Source organism: Homo sapiens, chromosome 12 (genome assembly GCF_000001405.40).
Source record: "Homo sapiens chromosome 12, GRCh38.p14 Primary Assembly".
Lineage (NCBI taxonomy): Eukaryota > Metazoa > Chordata > Mammalia > Primates > Hominidae > Homo > Homo sapiens.
The window spans coordinates 112,603,102-112,623,902 of NC_000012.12; the positions used below are offsets into that span (position 1 = coordinate 112,603,102).

General features: G+C 44.7%; 1 protein-coding gene across 1 annotated transcript in view, besides 1 other annotated feature; it reads left to right on the forward strand.

The window, feature by feature from the left end:
- Positions 1 to 20,801, forward strand: part of RPH3A (rabphilin 3A) — a 323,646-nt gene that overhangs the window by 27,866 nt on the left and 274,979 nt on the right. The window lies entirely within an intron of this gene.
- Positions 14,201 to 14,701: an enhancer, noted in NCBI's record as "H3K27ac hESC enhancer chr12:113055106-113055606 (GRCh37/hg19 assembly coordinates)". NCBI's record gives its function as "activates a minimal SCP1, AML or CMV promoter by ChIP-STARR-seq in naive H9 embryonic stem cells {active_cell/tissue: H9 hESC(naive)}" and the evidence as "EXISTENCE:reporter gene assay evidence [ECO:0000049][PMID:30033119]".

The window sequence follows — 20,801 nt, forward strand, 5'->3', positions numbered from 1 at the left end:
TGTTCAGACTCCTGTGTCTTCAGAGATTAGGATGCTCCTTTCCCCCAGGTGTAGGGAGAGCATCTGTTGAATGACTGTCTTATGATTGCTTCAAGGGAGAAGGTGAGAGAGACCTTCCTGCTTCAGCTGTTTTCTCAAATATCAAGGTGCTATATTTTGGAGTAGTGTGTCCTGAGTCCCATTAGTAGCAAAAGCACTCTTGAAGATTTACTGGAAAGGGATCTCATTCCAGACCCCAAGAGCGAGTTCTTGAATCTAGCACAAGAAAGAATTCTGGGTGAGTCCACAGTGCAAAGCAAAAGCAAGTTTATTAAGAAAGGAAAGCAGTTGAAAGGACAGCTACTCCATAGACAGAGTAGGGCGTTCCTGAAAGTAAGAGGAGGAACACACCCACCCTAGGTATAATGCTTGTATATACATAGGATAACAACAAAAACAAAAAAATCATGGGAAGATGTACAAGGGTTTGTGATAAAGATTCAATTTTCTTAATTACTATATTTTGTAAGAATCAATATTATTATCTTTAAAGCAAAATTAGGAATGCTTTTGTTCTCAAGATATCGGGTTAACAGGACATTCCTCGGCTTGGGACTTTTTAGTAACATTATGAATCTGTTCTCTTAACCATAAACATCTACATGCTAGAAATACCCAACACCCTGGGAAAACAGCCCAGCAAGTCCCAGTCTCATTTTTCTTCGCCCTCACTCAAGATGGAGTCACTCTGGTTTGAATGCCTCTGACAAAGGGAAAGGGATGTAATATAACCCAGCCCCCCAGCATACTGCCTAGTTGAATGTGTGCTTGTGTGTGTGTTGGTTGGTTTGTTGGTTGTGGAAGGCAGGAGGGGACACATTAACCAGGCAACTGGTTCTGGTCTTCTCTTGGCAATTGCTGGCCATTTTATCTGGAACCCCAAGGTAGGCAAAGTTCTAAATAAGTACATTTTGCAGGTGACTGAATCATAAGCCATTGAGGTAATCAATCTTTATGTGCAGAATATGAGGTTCAGAGAGGTTAAGTGATTTTCTCAAGAGCACACAGCTGGTAAAGTGGCAGAGCTGATACCTGAAGCCTAGATCTGTCTGAACTCAAGGGATTGTGTGCTTATCAATTTGCTAGTGTGTTGCTATAACTTTTCAATTTTACTGAGGGTGACTTTACTGGCAACCATTTCAAGAATCACCCCCTACCCACCTTTAAAAATTGTGTTGCTTTCTAAAAGAGGATACAGAACAATTTAACTTTTTTCCATGTTATAAAAGTCAGTCATCTGTGCTGAGAGTTACACTCTCAGGTGTGTTTGAGGGGAAGGTAGGGAGGGAAACTAGCATATATTCAGCAACTACAACATGCCAGGCATTTGCTAGACATTTTATGTATTCCTACTTATGTTCCCTATCCTCACTTTTTATTCCCATTTTACAGATAGAGAAATGGTGTCTCACTGTATTAGTTTTCTATTACTAGGTAACAAATTAACCCAACATGTAGCAGCTTACATGTTGGGTTAATTATATAAGTGACATTTACGATCTCATGTACTTTCTGAGGATCAGCATTTCAGTATAGCTTAGCTGAGTGATTCTGGCTGAAGGCCTCTCATGAGGTTGTAGTCAGAATGTAGCAGGGGCTGCCACCCTCTGAAGGCTTGACTGGGCTGAAAAATCCACTTCCAGGATGGCACACTCACATGATTGTTGGCTGGAGGTCTCTCAGTTCCTTGTCTCGTGGATCTTTCCATAGCTCTGCTTAAGTGACCTCCCAACATGGCAGCTGGCCACCCCCAGAGTGAGCAATCTGAGAGAGGCAGAGACCAAGATGGAAACCTTCCGTGACCTAGCGTCTGAAGTTGTGTATTGTTAATTCTGCTTTATTCTGTTTGGTAGAAGGGGAGGAGAATTCAAGGGGCTCTACCTTCAAGGGCTTTACCTCTTGAAGTGGGGAGTATCAAATAATCTGTAGACATTTTAAAACCACCACACTCAGGACAGGTGCAGTGGCTCATGCCTGTAATCCCAACACTTTGGGAGACCAAGGTGGGCAGATCACCTGAGGTCAGGAATTCAAGGCCAGCCTGGCCAATATGATGAAACCCCATCTCTACCAAAAATACAAACATTAGCCAGGCATGGTGGCACACACCTATAACCCCAGCTACGTGGGAGGCTGAGGCAGGAGAATGGCTTGAATCCGGGAGGCAGAGGTTGCAGTGAGCTGAGATTGCACCACTGCATTCCATCCTGGTTGGCAGAGCAAGACTCCATCTCAAACAAACAAACAAACAAACAAAAAACAAAAACAAAAAAATCCAAACGAAACCGAACAAAACAAAAAACAAAACCAACAACAACAAACCACTAGACTCAGAAGTGCAGTAACCTGCCAAAGCTTATACAACTTATGGGTGGTGGAGGTTGGACATGCCCATAGTTCTAGCTGGCTCCATACTCTTCACTGAACTGTCATTTCTCCTGAGGAATGGAGCACTCTTTGCCCTTGTATTAAATAGCCCTAGCCTGCAAGCCTTTTTATTTAGAGTTCCTCTCAGCTCTTTCTATATCTGCCCAGCTTTCATCCATTATATCCAAGCAAGTCTTTCTCCCCTAAGCCTTTTGTGACCTAAGTCAGAGTTTTCCATCTCCTGTGGAACTGGGAAACCTAGTAACTACTAGCGTGCATCGTGTGTCAACCAAGAGGCAGTGGGCTCTGAGTGAATATCTGGGGTTCCCCCTTTAGCCAGTGGGTTTTATAACATTTTGGAGTGCTCAGAAAGATTTCTTCCTCTCTTCCTGAAATAATTATATGGGTCTGTTCAATTTATCCTTTGTATAACTCTTCCTAACTCTCCAAGGTCATTCATATGGAGTGTATCACTCGATTCTCACAAAAATTCTGTTAAAAAAGTGGGGGCGAGTGATATAATCTTCTAGATAGCTGAGGTGTTGAGCAGCCACTTATCTATGTATCTTTCTTCTCTTAGTACCTGCTTGGCCCTGGCTCCTTCCCTTCCACAAGCTGTGACTCTATGTACTGTGCTACATGAGCTCACGGTCTCGGAGATAATATTTTAATTTGCATATGCTCTTGTGAAACGAGAACAGGTTTGTGTTAAGATTTGAGTTCAACTTCTAGCATTTACTAGAATTTACCACTTACCAACTTTACTATTTACTCGCTGTGGGTTAGGGTTAGGGCAAGTATATTAGTCTAGTTCTCATATGCTATAAAGAACTACCAGAGACTGGGCAATTTATAAAGAAAATAGGGTTTTTGTTTGTTTGTTTGTTTTTGTTTTTTTTGAGATGGAGTCTGTCACCAGGCTGGAGTGCAGTGGCGCCATCTCGGCTCACTGTAATCTCTGCCTCCCAGTCTCAAGCAATTCTTGTGCCTCAACCTCCTGAGTAGCTGGGATTACAGTGCCCGCCACTATGGCTGGCTAATTTTTGGATTTTTAGTGGAGATGGGATTTCACCATGTTGACCAGGCTGATCTTGAACTCCTGACCTCAAGTGGAGCAAATAGGCTTAATTGGCTAGAATTCTGCAGGCTGAACAGGAAGCGTAGATGCGGAGGGCTCAGGAAACTTACAATCATGGTGGAAGGTGAAGGGGAAGCAGCATGTCTTCAACAAGGCAACAGGAGAGAGTGAGAGAAGGGGGAGGTGCTAAACACTTTTGAACAACCAGGTCTCGTGAGAACTCACTCAGTATCATGAGAACAGCAAGGGGGAGCTCCACCCCCATGATCCAGTCACCTCCCACCAGGCCCCTCCTCCAATGTTGAGGATTACAATTCAACATGAGATTTGGGTGGGGACACAGATCCAAACCACATCAGCAAGCAACTTCACTTCTTTGGATCTTGCTTTTCGTATCTGTAAAATGGGGATAAAACAGTACCTACTTCATAGGACCTTTAAGGGGGGGATCAGATAATACATAAAAAGTGATTAGCTCAATGGGTGGCAGAGAGTCAACACTTAAAGGCACCACACACTGCTACTTATAGATGCCACTTCCCTATGCACCAAGATCCCAGCTTGCTGTGTGACTTAGGGAAGTTGCTTGGCCTCTTGGGGCTACTTTCATTTGTAAAATGCATGGGTTCAATTGCATAATATCAGAGGTTCCTTCTGGCTTGAACAATTCACCATCCTCAGATTGTTTATATAGCACACCCATACTATTTATTTTCAAAAGTCTATTCATAGTATCCTACTTGTAATAATTTTAGATAATAGTTGCACAGATTTAATAGAAGCCAGGTGAATTGTTCAGCATTTTTTAAATGCAGGAATTGAACAATATATTTATGTACATAATTACCCGTTTTTTTCCTTTGCAATCTAAAAGGGCATATTAAAAATTGAGCAATGATTTCTTTCTCCTCCTGTTGGGTCAAGGAACTGGCTAATGCAGTTTTATGTTAATTGGAAGACACACTAAATGGCATAGCTAAAAGAAAGAGAAGTACTCAGTTGTAGAAGTGCTTTTTAATCACCTACCTGAATTTGAGCATCTGAAGGGTTTCCAGCAAGTTATGCGGCCCTTGAGGGAATACTTGTTCTGTCCTCACTACAGAGTTGATAAATAAACGATTTCTTGAGTGTGGCTCTTGGTGAAATTCTCAAACATCAATGAACCAGATTTGTCTTAGCTTCTCTCTGCAATTTCTCTTCCTCCTAAATGCCTTGCTGTGATTTTAGCCTGGCCTCTTGTCCATTAAATGCACTGTTCTTTGCTCGACATGTAGTTCATTTTATGGCGAACCAGAAGGCAGTTTGCTTTGAAGTCACTTTCCCGCTCTAAAACCTTTAGTGGCTCTCTGTTCCCTCTGGCATCGAATACAGACTCCTTAGCCTAGTACCTGGTCTTAACTTTCCTGGAAAGCCAAAGGGGATGATTTGCTGTTCCCAACACATGCCCAGGGACTTTAAAATTTTCCTCTATGCATTCATTTATTCTCTTACCCTCATCTTTTATATCTTTCCCTCCTCCTCCTCTTTCTTTTTCTTTTTTTTTTTTTTGACGGGGAGTTGCGCTCTGTTTCCCAGGCTGGAGTGCAGTGGGGCGATCTTGGCTTACTGCAATCTCTGCCTGCCGGGTTCAAGTGATTTTCCAGCCTCAGCCTCCCGAGTAGCTGGGATTACAGGCACCCGTCACCACATCTGGCTATTTTTTGTATTTTTAGTAGAGATGGGGTTTCACCATGTTGGCCAGGCTGGTCTTGAACTCCTGACCCCAGGTGATCCACCCGCTTTGGTCTCCCAAAGTGCTGGGATTACAGGCATGAGCTATCCCGCCTGGCTGACATTCTCAAGTAGTGTCCTGCCCATGGTAGATTCTTAGTAAATATTTATTGAATTAAATTAGCAAATTCATATATTGTGCTTTGGGGGAACACTTCCATTCTCAAGGTTAATTATTTGTTTCATTAATTAAGGACTTCTGCTTTTAATCGAGATGTTGTCTTGAGATATTTGGGGAAACTGGCTTTTCAGATGCCACGACTTAAGACCTGAGAAATGCAAACCTTCTTGTAAGACGCAAGCAGCTGATCATTCCCAAGGGCTTGAGCTTCTGTGTTAAATGCACAGTAAGCTGTGATAAAAGGGGAGGCAGACACACTATTCTTTTTGTGTTTTGGACCAAGCCTTCAAAATCTGCTTTACACTTACAGCACATTTCACATTGGATGCTAACTTTTCATCAGAAATATTTGATCTGGATTTCTATTTGGTTATATTTACAACTGGCAAAGTAGATTGACATCAGTAAGTCCTAATCATTCTTTAAAATGCTCCAGGAACTGAATCAGATTTGAGTTAAAAACTAAGATTAAAGTAGATGAAAATTAAATAAAATAAAAAATTCACTTTTTTAGTCATACTAGCCACGTTTCAAGTATACAATAAATAGCCATGTGTGGTTTGTAGTGATCTCATTGGACGATGCCAGATCTGGATGTTTCGTGAGCACCATCTTCCCCAAATCCTCACAGACTGTTTCTTACATAATGCCACCACCAGACAATTGACCTAGAAGGTAGAAGTTCAAGGGTTATCCTTGACTTATACCTCTCCCCATCTCAAGTAGCTGGGATTACAAGTGCACGCCACCATGTCTGAGTATTTTATTTTATGTAGAGATGGGGTTTAGCTATGTTGCCAAGGCTGGTCTCAAATGCCTGGCCTCAAGTGATCCTCCCATCTTAGCCTCCTCAGTAGCTGGAATTAGACTGTTCTTCCTAACATGCAGATCTGACCATTCACTCACATTCTCTGCTCCAGTTGAGTCTTACTGCTGTCCCTTGAGTTTCCTGTGAAATCTCTAGGTCTTTGCACATGATATTCTGTCTCTCTAGAATCCTATTTCTTCTCTCCTTCCACCTCCTGCCTATTGTTTGGTTTGCCTTCACCAAGAAGCCGTCCTGGATTCCTTCCAGTCTGCACTAGGTGCTCCTTCTTGGTGCTCTCACATCTCTGTGCTTCCCCTCCTCTGCTACCTTCTAGCATTGATGACAGAGCTTGTTGTGAGACTGGATTTGGTCTGTTTGTTCATTGCTGCATCCCCAGTGCCTAGAGTCAGCACCTGTCAACATGCATGAATAAATTACAGACCTGCCCCCCAAACCAACCTGTCATCTTGATGCCTATTGTTCAAAAGCATCTCAGTGATGGGAAACATAACCAGCCCCACTTTCTGGAAAATCAACCCCAGCACAAGTCTGACACGCAGTGGGCCAATGGTCCTGGTGTCCATGGTGACAGAGCAGCTAACGTAGCTCCCAAAGCATGCCTTGAACCACTGGAATAGTTGTTCCACTTTTGCAGCCTCGCTTGAAATCTATCAATGGCTTCCTATTGCTTTGAGGGTAAAACTCAGACTCTTCCTACAGCCCACAAGGGACGGAGTGATCTGACCGTGCCCTGCTCTCCCATCTCATCTTTTCCTGCTTCCTTTCTTCATCTCTACTCTCCCCCGGCTCTCTTGGCTCCAGCCACACCACACTGATCGCTCTGTTTCCACCTCTGCATTTGCTGTTCCTTCTGGCTGGTGCCTCTCCTCCTTCTGGTTTCAGCTTAAATGGCTTTTCCTTTAAGAAACCTTCCTTGGGTCGGTGAGGTGGCTCATGCCTATAATCCCAGCACTTTGGGAGGCCAAGCGAGGCAGATCACCTGAGGTTGGGAGTTCGAAACCAGCCTGGCTAACATGGTGAAACCCCGTCTCTACTAAAAATACAAAAATTAGCTTGGCGTGGTGGTAGGCGCCTGTAATTCCAGCTACTTAGGAGGCTGGGGCAGGAGAATCGCTTGAACCCAGGAGGTGGAGGTTGCAGGGAGCAGAGGTTGCACTACTGCACTCCAGCCTGGGCAACAGAGTGAGACTCTGTCTCAATTAAAAAAAAAAAAAAAAAAAGCCTTCCTTGATCTATCTAAAGGAGCAGCTCACTTAGTCCCTCTGCAGTCCATTATCTTATTTGATTATCTTCAAAGCACTTAAACATGTCTAAAATTATTATTTTATTTATTTATTTATTTTTGAGATGGAGTGTCACTCTGTTGCCCAGGCTGGAGTGCAGTGGCATGATCTTGGCTCACTGCAAGCTCCGTCTCCTGGGTTCATGCCATTCCCCTGCCTCAGCCTCCCGAGTAGCTAGGACTACAGGCGCCTGCCGCCACGCCCAGCTAATGTTCTGTATCTTATCTTTAGTAGAGACAGGGTTTCACCGTGTTAGCCAGGATGGTCTCGATCTCCTGACCTTGTGATCCACCCACCTTGGCCTCCCAAACTGCTGGGATTATAGGTGTGAGCCCCCGCACCCACCTGTCTAAAGTTATTTTATGCATTTACTTTCTTAGTTACAGTTATTTCTCCCCATTTGAATGTAAATTCTTTGAGGACAAAGATTTCGTCATCTTGTTCATGGCTGTTTTCCCAAAGCCCAGAACAGTGCTTTAAACATAGTAGGTGCTCAATAAAACCCTTGTTCAATGAATGAACCATTAGATAATTCAGCTTTTTAGTAAGCAGAACACTTCCAAGAACCAGTTATAGGTAGATGTCAAGCATTCTTTCTTTCTTACCTTTTAGCTTGTTAATCAGTTTCACTGATCAAATGCAATGGTATCTTTTCATTTTCACAGGAGAGAGCTGGTTCACAGCTCCCTGGTTTTATGAGTTTAGACAAATGAATGCAGTCATGTAACCACCACCACGACTGATGGTGCAGACACCTGAGCATTCTTTTTACTTCCCTAGGAAAGGTGCAAGAATTTTGCCATGGGAAAGTCATTCCTGCCACTCTTCTGGCAATGTGTTAGTTCCATCCAGATCCCTACTCATCCTACCCAGAGCATCTTGGATTGTTTTTTTTTCGGGAGTACAATGGCACAATCTCGGCCCACTGCAACCTCCGCCTCCCGGGTTCAAGGGATTCTCCTGCTTCAGCCTCCTGAGTAGCTGAGATTACAGGTGCGCACCACCACGCCCAGCTAATTTTTGTATTTTTGGTAGAGATTGGGAGGGGGGGTTCACCATGTTGGTCAGGCTGGTCTTGAACTCCTGACTTCAGGTTATCCACCTACCTCAGCCTCCCGAAGTGCTGGGATTACAGGTATGAGCCACTGTGCCCAGCCAGGGCTGTTGTTATTTTTTACTTCAATATTTAATTCTAGCAATAGAAATACTCTTATGTAACTAGCATTGTCCTAGCCAGCAAGAAAAAAAAAAAGGGAAAAATAATTAGAGTCCCTTCAATGAAATTAGCAGCCTGCAGTAGGGTAACTGTCCCTCCTACTCCTTAATTTAAATGGATGTGCTTATGGCTAGCGGCTAAAGCATTTGTCAAATATAGGCACATCCGCCAGAATTTCAGTTGTCACTACCACATTTCCTCTGATCTTGTGTGGCATTCTTGGAACCGTAATGAAATCCGGGCTATAAAGACTCCAGTGAAGAAATAAAGTGGAAACAAAACAGCCTTTTGCCAACCCACGCTCTGCTTTAAATAAGGAGCAATGTCTATTGAATAACTCAGCCCCGCCTGTCAAAATATTTTTTGGGGGGGTGGGCTATTCATTTGGAATTACTCCAGGAGGCCTTTAATTAGAGCCTTTACTGCATTTGCAGTGCTGAAATGAGTCCATGTGCTTCTTGCTTGATCTTCCACATCACGACTCTGGCTTTTGAAAGGCCCTGTTGGTGTAATTGAGGTTAAGTGTAGTTACTCTGCTTCTGAGAACACACACCCCTTTAACGGGCCCGAGAAACAGGGTAGAAAACTTGCAATGGTTTTTCCTCTTGGGAAGTTGTTAGCACCTCACATTTGCTCCGTTAAACTTTTCACCTGTGATTGGGGTTCTCTTTTCTGTCCCTGGGGTTCCCTGAGGAGTGTCTGGGCCCTAGAGGATCCTAGGAAGAGTGTCTGGGCCCTAAAGAGGGAGTTTTGCCTTTTTTTTTTTTTTTTTTTTTTTGAGACAGGGTCTCACTCTGTCACCCAGGCTGGAGTGCAATGACGTGATCTCGGCTCCCTGCAACCTCAACTTCCTGGGCTCAAGTGATCCCCCTGCCCCAGCCTCCTGAGCAGCTGGGACTACAGGTGTGCACTGCCATGCCCAGCTAATTTTTGTATTTTTCTTTTTTTTTTGTAGAGACTGGAGTTTCATCAGATTGCCCAAGCTGGTTTTGAACTCCTGGGCTCAAGCGATCTGCCTGCCTCAGCTTCCCAAAGTGTTGGGATTACAGGTGTGAGCCACAGCATCCAGCCTGAGTTTTACTTTTTAAACTCTAGGATATCCAAGGTGAAGTCCAAAGAGAGCACCCAGGTATAAACAAGATTATTCTGGAAGGGCTGGCTTGTGGCCAGTTTCTACCTTTCCGATAATAATGATAATGATGATGATGATGATAATTCCTGTCTAATGAGCTCTAGTTCTACACTGGGTCTGTGTTAAGCCCTTTCTCTACATAACCTCATTTAACCTGCACAACAGCCCTGTGAGGTGGATCTAATTATTCCCACTTCACAGATGAGGAAACTGAGACTCATAAAGGGCCAAGTGCATGGCCAAGGACACAAATCTGGTATGGGTCATTGTTGAGATTGAAGCCCGGGACTTTCTAACTCTAAAGCCTGCTGAGTTTGTTGCGGAGTGGGCTTTTGGTGAATCCCCCTGTGTAATGGTTGGAGAGACCAGGTCGTTGCCTTCCTGGAAAGGAGGTGTCAGGGATATTCTTGGTGGCCTCGCGGTTCTAAGAATGGACTCTGCAGTTAGACCTGGAGATTTGGATCCTGGCTCTGCCTCTGACCAGCTATGGTTGATGGAGTAATGGCTCCCAAAGATGTCCATGTCCTAATTCTGGAGCCCATGGATATGTTACCTTCCAGCAAAAGGGACTTTGCAGATGTGATTAAGGATCTTGAGATGTAGAGATGATCCTGGATTATCCAGGTGAGCCCAATCCATCACCCAGATCCTTATAAAAGGGAAGCAGAACCTGGGCAACATAGTGAGACCCTGTCTTTACTAAAAACAAACAAAATTAGCCAGGTGTGATGGTGCATGCCTGTAGACCCAGCTACTTGGTGGTGAGGGTGGGGGTCTGATGGGGGAGGATCTTTTGGGCCTATGAGTTCAAGACCAGGCTGGACAACATAGCAAGACCCTGCCTCTGCAAAAAATTAACTAGCTGGATGTGGTGGTACACGCCTGTAATCCCAGCTACTCAGGAGACTGAGGCGAGAGGATTGCTTGAGCCCAGGAGGTGGAGGCTGTAGTGAGTTATGATTGCACCACTGCACTCTAGGATGGGTGACAGAGTGAGATCCTGTCTCTAAAGAAAAGCAAGAAGTAGGGTCAGAGATAAGAGGAGACATGATGATAGCAGAGATTGGGCTGATACGCTTTGAAGTTAGAGGAAGGGACCACGAGCCAAGGAATGCTTGTAAACCACTACAAGCTGAAAAAGGCAAAGAAATGGATTCTCCCTTCAGAGCTTCTAGAAGGAACCAGCTCCCCTGGCACCTTGACTTGAGCCCAGTGAAACTGATTTTGGACTTCTGACTTCCAGAACTGTAAGAGAATAAATTTGCATTGTTGAAATCTCCTAAATTTGTGGCAATTTGTCACAGCAGCAATGGGAAATAGAACACCAGATGTTTGTCCTTGGGGTAGTGAATAAATCTCCCTGAGCCTCAATTCCATCATCTGTGAAATGGGAATAATAATATCAATGCCCACATCATAGCGTGATAGTGGAGATAAAAGTTGATGCATATAAGATCCTTTGTGGGGCTGGGCATGGTGGCTCACTCCTGTAATCCCAGCACCTTGGGAGGCTGAGGCGGGTAGATCACTTGAGCCCAGAAGTTTGAGACCAGCCTGGACATCACGGTGTAACCCTGTCTCTATTAAAAAAAAAAAAAAGCAAAATACGGGCATGGTGATGCACACCTGTAGTCCCAGTTACTTGGGAGGCTGAGGTGAGAGAATCTCCTGAGCCCGGGAAGTCCAGGCTGCAGTGAGCAGAGATCACATCACTGTACTCTAGCCTGAGGGACAGGAGTGAGACCCTGCCTCAAAAAAAAAAAAAAAAAAAAAAAAAAAAAGGAAGAAAAAGATCCAAGATCCATTTTGTATTATGTGCTGATTGAATGTTAGATATCACTACTACTAGTACTATTATTATCTTTAGAGTTGGAGTCTTGCTTTGTCTCCCAGGCTGGAGTGTGGTGGTGCGATCATGGCTCACTGCAGTCTTGAACTCTTGGGCTCAAGTGAGCCTCCTCTCTCAGCCTCCTGAGTTGCTGGGATTACAGGGAGCTTCTGTGGCTGGCTGTATTATTATTAATGCTAATATGAAAATAAGCATGACCATGAAAGAACCCCAAAACAAAAACCAACAGAGGAACAATTTACTGTTGAACTCATCCACATCCTCTATGTGGGGTTCTTATACTACTTTATACTGGGGGCTTATATATTGATCTGTGTATTCCCTATAATATTCCAGCACCTTGATGGGATCTGGCACATAGTAGGTGCTGCAAAAATACCTAAGGCATGACATGATTAAAGACAGAAAATATGTGTTTCTGTGCTATTTTTTTTTCTGTTAGAAGCTTTGTTGTTTTGAGGGGAGTCTTGCAGACCCTCGCAAAACTACAGACCTGTTGTGTGAAGATGGGCTGGCTTCCTGCCCCCAGCCATCTGGTGAACCCTGGCACCACCTCCTTGGGGCCTCCAGTGATTGTTCCCCACACGCACTGCCAGCCCTTTCTCTCAGCCTCCTGGCACTTGGCTCCAGCTCCTGGCTCTGGCCACTAGAGAGGTGGTCTCCATGGTAACAGTTTTGGGGGGCATTGAGAGGGAGCAAAGAAGGAAAAGGTATCATGCCAGCCAGCCAGCCCTTGTTAGGGACCCACTCATACCAGGGTGCTTGTTCCTGTACCTCCGCTAGAGATCTCGGCTGCAGAAAGGCAGGTCCAGGAGCAGGTGGAGAGGTGCTGGTGCTTGTCTTTTGGCGACTTCTTTTTGTACCTTGCCTTCTCTTTTTGCCCTCTTCTGCACTTGACGACCGTGTCCAAGGATCTCAGTGCTTTCAAAGAACCATAGTTATCCACTGCTGCCAACTGAAGGCTCTGGAAATTCAAGTTGGCTGTCCCATTTACTGGTGGGGTGAGCTGTGGAGTAAGTTACTTCACCTCCCTGACCTCAGTTTTATCATCTATAAAATGGGGTTTTCATAAACATGAAGAGAATCTGTGAAGCCCTTAGAATGACGCCTGGCAGCTAGTAAGTGCTCAATAAGGTTTTATCTATATTGTCTGTTGTTTGAGATGGGGGCACTGAGGTCTGGATCTTGTCCCTAGGACCCTCTGTGGCATCAACCCTCATCAACTCTATTCTCCTTGCCAATGGGAGCAGCTTCTTCTCTGGGCTTCTTTTCTCCAGTCAAAACATATCTGTCTGTTGTCTTCCATCCTCAGAGCCCTGCCGAGCAACTGGTTTATCTCTGATAAATGGATCCATTCTTTTTTTGTTTTTGTTATTTTTGAGACAGAATCTTGCTCTGTCACTCAAGCTGGAGTGCAGTGGCATGGTCTCGGCTCACTGCAACCTCCGCCTCCCGGGTTCAAGCGATTCTCCTGCCTCAGCCTCCCGAACAGCTGGGATTACAGGCACCTGCCACCATGCCTGGCTAATTTTTGTATTTTTAGTAGAGACGGGGTTTTGCCATGTTGGCCAGGCTGGTCTCGAACTCCTGACCTCAAGTGATCCTCCTGCCTCGGCCTCCCAAAGTGCTGGGATTGCAGGTGTGAGCCACCGCGCGCAGTCTGGATCCATTCTTGAATGTTCATGGCTGAGTTGGAGACTTTTCAAAATGTTTTTGCATCTTAGAAGAGAATTCCCAGAGACAATAATACCTTAATTCCAAGACAAAATCTTGGGAGAGAAAAAGTTTCCAGGCACCAGGCAGTGGGAGGATTAAAAAATAACAGAGGTGTCACTGAAGCTCAGAGAAGTTAAGCAATGTGCTCAGGGCCACACAGCAGGTTAAGTTGTGAAGCTGACATTTGAACCTAAGTCTGCTTTTCAATGGACCTCAAGGAACATTCTCCTTTCCTTTCTCACCTGATCTCTTAAGTATCCACCCAGAGTGATGGACAGGAGTGATCAGCTGTCAGATGCCTTAAAACCAGTGGCCAAATGCTGATCCAACAGCTGAAATTTGGGAGCCTGCAGCTTCCTGGCAGAGACAAAGGAGACTACAGTCTTTCTCAGCTCAGCTGGGAGAACAGACTTTATCGAGAGCATCCCTTCCTCCCTGGGAAGGTTTGAGAGGCATTTGTAATGCAGATTTTGACTCTGGGCAAGGACCCAGCTCCCCATCCTCACCTCTGGCTGAGCCATTTAAAAAAATACAAGAAGACAGTTTTTTCCCTCCTGAGCCCTGAGGTCTGAGGCTGAAGTAGATGAGCTTCCTGCAGCCTAAGCTCTTTCTCTCTCCCTGTTTGAAGCACATCTCTGCTCCCGGTTTGTCCCCTGCTTTCCTTAGGGAGCTGGAGGTGTCAGGAAGAGAAAGGGGTGTAAAGAATAACACCGGAGACTCTGGGGTCAGAGATGGCGAGTGAGCATTCCTGCTGGTCCCTGCATGTAATTAAGACTTGCAAATCCACGCTGCTGAGGTGTTGGTGGCAGTATAATTAATCCCAGGCTCCTTGGGGTGGCTCAGCATCCCCAAATGGCCACCCTTGTCATTTAGCCAGCCTCAGTAGGATGAGCTTGGACAAAGGCTGGTTGGATTCAGGTTGCTGTGGGCATAGCTGAGCTCATTCACTTACTCACTCACCCATTCACTCACTCACCTGTTCATTTATTCCCCAGATACTTACAAAGTACCTTTTATAGGCTCAATATCAGAGAGAAAAAGTGAACAGCTGCTGTCCTCCATGGCTCCCAGAACAGTGAATTCTCCTCAAGTGGCAAGTGCTGAAATAACGGAAGGAACAAAGTTTAATTGCAATGCAGAGGAGGAGTTTTTATTTCTGCCTCGGAGACTTCCTGGAGGAAGTGGCACTTGAGTTGTCTTTTTTCTTTCTTCTTTTGAGACAGGTTCTTGCTCTGTTGCCCAGGCTGGACTGCAGTGGCACCAGCATGGCTCACTGCAGCCTCGACCCCCTAGGCTCAAGTGATCCTCCTGCTTCAGCCTCCTGAGTAGCTGGGACCACAGGTGCGTGCTACCACACCCAGCCTGAGTTGTCTTTTTTACCTTTAAGAATGACAAAATCGTTCATGCTTATTGTGATAAATCTAAATAAGGCAGAAGAGTGTAAAGGAAACACAAATCTTCTCCTTCCTTGATGTCAGTTCTACCTCTGGCATTTATCCTTTTGGAGTACTTTCTACATTTATGTATACACATATCCCAGATGTCAGCTTCCAAGTCTTAGTGTGATTTGTGATTTTCCCTATGCCAACCCCCCATGAGAATCTAGCATGTCTCCGAATTCTTGCAGAAGAATTCATCCCATGCACACAGCACTGGGGAGCAATGCAGAGCTTATAGAAGCCTTCTTAGAGGAGGCAGAGGAAGAGATTATACTGTGAGGCACCCCTAAGTCACCCCCTGCCCTTGGCCTTGTCACTGCAGGGGCTTCTTCTCCCTCAGTCTCACCTGCTTCTCCTCCTGTCCCAGGTCTCTTCCCTAAATTTCCTGTTGCTATTCTGCAGAGCAATTCCACAGTGCACCAGATCCTGCTTCAATCGCAAGCCCAGTTCATCACAGGCTGCAACTAACAAAGGACCCTCCAGTAAAGATGACCCTCCCCCTTAGAAGGCAGTTTTGGGATCATATCTTGCTAGTTGGGCAGGTCTGAGGCTCCCACCCTCTCTAAGTTGCTTACTGAAATGTTTCTTCCTCACAAGTACATTGCCCATTTCAAGAGGAACCCTGGGGAATTAAATAGTCTCCATCTTGTAACGTAGAGACTCATACATGTAATTGTTTTTTTAATCATATTTATTTATTACCAAAGTAGGATCATACTACACATATTATTTTATAATTTGCCTTTGAAAATAGCTTTATTGAGATATAATTCTTATACCATACAATTTGTCCATGTAAAGCGAGCCACTCAATTATTTTAGTATGTTCACAGGGTTGTATGACTATCTCCACACGTAATTTTAGAACATTTTGGTCTCTCCTAAAAGAAACCCATTAGCAGTAACTACACGTTTTCCTTGCCCTTCCCTTGGTCCCTGGCAACCTCTACTTTACTTTCTGTTTCTTTAGATTTGCCTATTCTGGACATTTCATATAAATGGAATAATATAATATTTGTCCTTTTGCGACTGGCGTCTTTCACTTAGCATCGTGTTTTCAAGGTTCATCTGTGTTAAAGCATGAATCGGTGCTTCCTTCCCTTTTCAGTTTGAATAACGTTTCATTAGATGGGTATATCACATTTTATTTATCTGTTCCTCAGTTGATAGACATTTGTGTTGTTTCTACTTTTTGGCTATTATAAATAATGCTGCTGATAACATTGGTGTTCAAGTTTTTGTGTAGACATATGTTTTCAGTTCTCTTGGGTATATACCCAGGAATGGAATTGCCTTATGGTAATTCTGTGTGTGTGTGTGTGTGTGTGTGTGTGTGTGTGTGTGTGTGTGTGTGTGTGTTTTGAGATGGAGTTTTGCTCTTGTTGCCCAGGCTGAAGTGCAATGGCACAACCTCAGCCCATTGCAACCTCTGCCTCCCAGGTTCAAGTGATTCTCGTGCCTCAGCCTCCTGAGTAGCTGGGATTACAGGCATGCTATCATGCCCAGCTAATTTTGTATTTTTAGTAGAGATGGGGTTTCACCGTGTTGGCCAGGCTGGTCTCGAACTCCTGACCTCAAGTGATCTGCCCACCTTGGCCTCCCAAAGTGCTAGGATTACAGGCGTGAGCTACCGTGCCTGGCCTAATTCTATGTTAAATATTTTGAGAAACTGTGAAATTATTTTTCAAAGCAACTGCACCATTTGATGTTTCCACCAGCAGTGTATGAGGGTTCCACTTTCTTCACATCTTTGCCAACCTTTGTTATTGTCTTTTTTTTTGATTATAGACATCCTAGTGAGTATGAAGTCTGATTTGCTTTTTTTGCTTATTAATAAACATGGACATATTTCCAGATCAACAGGTAGTGACCTACCTAATTCTTTTTAGTGGCATAATAATATTCTATTGGATAAATATACCCTACTGATTTTATCAATTCCCTTTCTGAATTAGTCAGACTTATTTTTTCCGAGTTACCAAAACAGTCCAACCCAAACTGGCACAAGCTAAATAGTTCACATAACTAAAATGTCTAGGACACCTCAAGCTTCAGGTGTGGCTTGATCCAAGTAGCAAGTGAAGTCACCAAAATCCTTTCTTCACCTCCAGACTTTGCTTTGTTTGTGTGGGCTTCATTTACAGAATAAGCTGCCCCTGTGATGGTGTGATGATTGCCAGCAACTTCTGTTCAAATCCTTCTGAAAATAATGTTTCCCAGTAGTTCCTGCAGTGGTTCTGAGATTCACTCTGATTGGCTTGGCTGAAGTCATCTGTTTATCCCTAAGCCAACATGTTTTCATGGTGCTCTATGCTTGGAGCTGAGCATACAGGCCCATGCAGATCACATGGTCCAAGTAGGGATGGGGTAGATATCCAAGTGAAAATCAGGGGCAGTTGCTGGAGGAAGAGGTGTGGATACTGAGCAGATTAATTACAAATGCTCATTATACTCACTGAGTTTTCACTGGGCTTCCAGGACACCACATTCTCCTGGTCGTTTCCTTCCATCTCTAAACAGCATCATGTCCTAGGACTGAGTCCTTCCATCCTTCTCCACCTACATTTGACTTAAAGTGCCCTCTCAGTGTATATGATTTCAAAATTTGTTGTTTCCAGCCTGGCGGGTCCCCTAAGCTCTAGACCTGCACAGCTAACTGCTTAGTCAGTACCGCCACTAGGATGAACTTCTCGTAGGAACTTCATATGGAACTTCTCATAGGAAGTTCAAAGTTAGCATGTTCACATCCAAACTCCTGATATTCACTCTCTCGACACAGACCCTGCTCCTTCCGTGGTCTTGCCACTGCCATTAACTGGCCACTCCATCCTTCCCATTGCTCAGACCCCAAACCTGGAGTCATCCTTGATTCCTCTCCTTCTTTCCTACTCCACATCCAATTCATCAACCAATCCTGTCTGCTCCACATTTAAGCCATATATAGAATCTGAGCACTTCTTACCACCTCCATTGCCATCACCCGGGGCCAACTCACTGCCAGTAGTCTCTGGCCCTCCTCAGCCTGTTCTGTTTTAGTTCCCACATATCTTCCTATTTTTTAACATTATTATTTTTTTTTTTTTGTAGAGATAGGGTCTTGCTATGTTACCTAGGCTGGTCTTGAACTCCTAGGCTCAAGCAATCCTTGTGCCTTGGCCTCCAAAAGCCTTGGGACTATAGACATGAGCCACCGTGCCTGGCCAATTAATTCCTTCAGTGACTGTTTACTGAGCAGCTACTTAAAAAATATTTGGGTTGGAGGAGCCAAGATGGCCGAATAGGAACAGCTCCGGTCTACAGCTCCCAGCGTGAGCGACGCAGAAGACGGGTGATTTCTGCATTTCCATCTGAGGTACCGGGTTCATCTCACTAGGGAGTGCCAGACAGTGGGCGCAGGCCAGTGGGTGCGCGCACCGTGCGCGAGCCGAAGCAGGGCGAGGCATTGCCTCACCTGGGAAGCGCAAGGGGTCAGGGAGTTCCCTTTCCGAGTCAAAGAAAGGGGTGACGGACGCACCTGGAAAATCGGGTCACTCCCACCCGAATATTGCGCTTTTCAGACCGGCTTAAAAAACGGCGCACCACGAGACTATATCCCACACCTGGCTCGGAGGGTCCTACGCCCACGGAGTCTCTCTGATTGCTAGCACAGCATTCTGAGATCAAACTGCAAGGCGGCAGCGAGGCTGGGGGAGGGGCGCCCGCCATTGCCCAGGCTTGCTTAGGTAAACAAAGCAGCCAGGAAGCTCGAACTGGGTGGAGCCCACCACAGTTCAAGGAGGCCTGCCTGCCACTGTAGGCTTCACCTCTGGGGGCAGGGCACAGACAAACAAAAAGACAGCAGTAACCTCTGCAGACTTAAATGTCCCTGTCTGACAGCTTTGAAGAGAGCAGTGGTTCTCCCAGCATGCAGCTGGAGATCTGAGAACGGGCAGACTGCCTCCTCAAGTGGGTCCCTGACCCCTGACCCCTGAGCAGCCTAACTGGGAGGCACCCCCCAGCAGGGGCACACTGACACCTCACACGGCAGGGTATTCCAACAGACCTGCAGCTGAGGGTCCTGTCTGTTAGAAGGAAAAATAACAAACAGAAAGGACATCCACACCGAAAACCCATCTGTACATCACCATCATCAAAGACGAAAAGTAGATAAAACCACAAAGATGGGGAAAAAACAGAACAGAAAAACTGGAAACTCTAAAACGCAGAGCGCCTCTCCTCCTCCAAAGGAACGCAGTTCCTCACCAGCAACGGAACAAAGCTGGATGGAGAATGATTTTGACGAGCTGAGAGAAGAAGGCTTCAGACGATCAAATGACTCTGAGCTACGGGAGGACATTCAAACCAAAGGCAAAGAAGTTGAAAACTTTGAAAAAAATTTAGAAGAATGTATAACTAGAATAACCAATACAGAGAAGTGCTTAAAGGAGCTGATGGAGCTGAAAACCAAGGCTCGAGAACTACGTGAAGAATGCAGAAGCCTCAGGAGCCGATGCGATCAACTGGAAGAAAGGGTATCAGCAATGGAAGATGAAATGAATGAAATGAAGCGAGAAGGGAAGTTTAGAGAAAAAAGAATAAAAAGAAATGAGCAAAGCCTCCAAGAAATATGGGACTATGTGAAAAGACCAAATGTACGTCTGATTGGTGTACCTGAAAGTGATGTGGAGAATGGAACCAAGTTGGAAAACACTCTGCAGGATATTATCCAGGAGAACTTCCCCAACCTAGCAAGGCAGGCCAACATTCAGATTCAGGAAATACAGAGAATGCCACAAAGATACTCCTCGAGAAGAGCAACTCCAAGACACATAATTGTCAGATTCACCAAAGTTGAAATGAAGGAAAAAATGTTAAGGGCAGCCAGAGAGAAAGGTCGGGTTACCCTCAAAGGGAAGCCCATCAGACTAACAGCAGATCTCTCGGCAGAAACCCTACAAGCCAGAAGAGAGTGGGGGCCAATATTCAACATTCTTAAAGAAAAGAATTTTCAACCCAGAATTTCATATCCAGCCAAACTAAGCTTCATAAGTGAAGGAGAAATAAAATACTTTACAGACAAGCAAATGCTGAGAGATTTTGTCACCACCAGGCCTGCCCTAAAAGAGCTCCTGAAGGAAGCGCTAAACATGGAAAGGAACAACCGGTACCAGCCACTGCAAAATCATGCCAAAATGTAAAGACAATCGAGACTAGGAAGAAACTGCATCAACTAACGAGCAAAATAACCAGCTAACATCATAATGACAGGATCAAATTCACACATAACAATATTAACTTTAAATGTAAATGGACTAAATTCTCCAATTAAAAGACACAGACTGGCAAGTTGGATAAAGAGTCAAGACCCATCAGTGTGCTGTATTCAGGAAACCCATCTCACGTGCAGAGACATACATAGGCTCAAAATAAAAGGATGGAGGAAGATCTACCAAGCAAATGGAAAACAAAAAAAGGCAGGGGTTGCAATCCTAGTCTCTGATAAAACAGACTTTAAACCAACAAAGATCAAAAGAGACAAAGAAGGCCATTACATAATGGTAAAGGGATCAATTCAACAAGAGGAGCTAACTATCCTAAATATATATGCACCCAATACAGGAGCACCCAGATTCATAAAGCAAGTCCTGAGCGACCTACAAAGAGACTTAGACTCCCACACATTAATAATGGGAGACTTTAACACCCCACTGTCAACATTAGACAGATCAACGAGACAGAAAGTCAACAAGGATACCCAGGAATTGAACTCAGCTCTGCACCAAGCGGACCTAATAGACATCTACAGAACTCTCCACCCCAAATCAACAGAATATACATTTTTTTCAGCACCACACCACACCTATTCCAAAATTGTCCACATAGTTGGAAGTAAAGCTCTCCTCAGCAAATGTAAAAGAACAGAAATTATAACAAACTATCTCTCAGACCACAGTGCAATCAAACTAGAACTCAGGATTAAGAA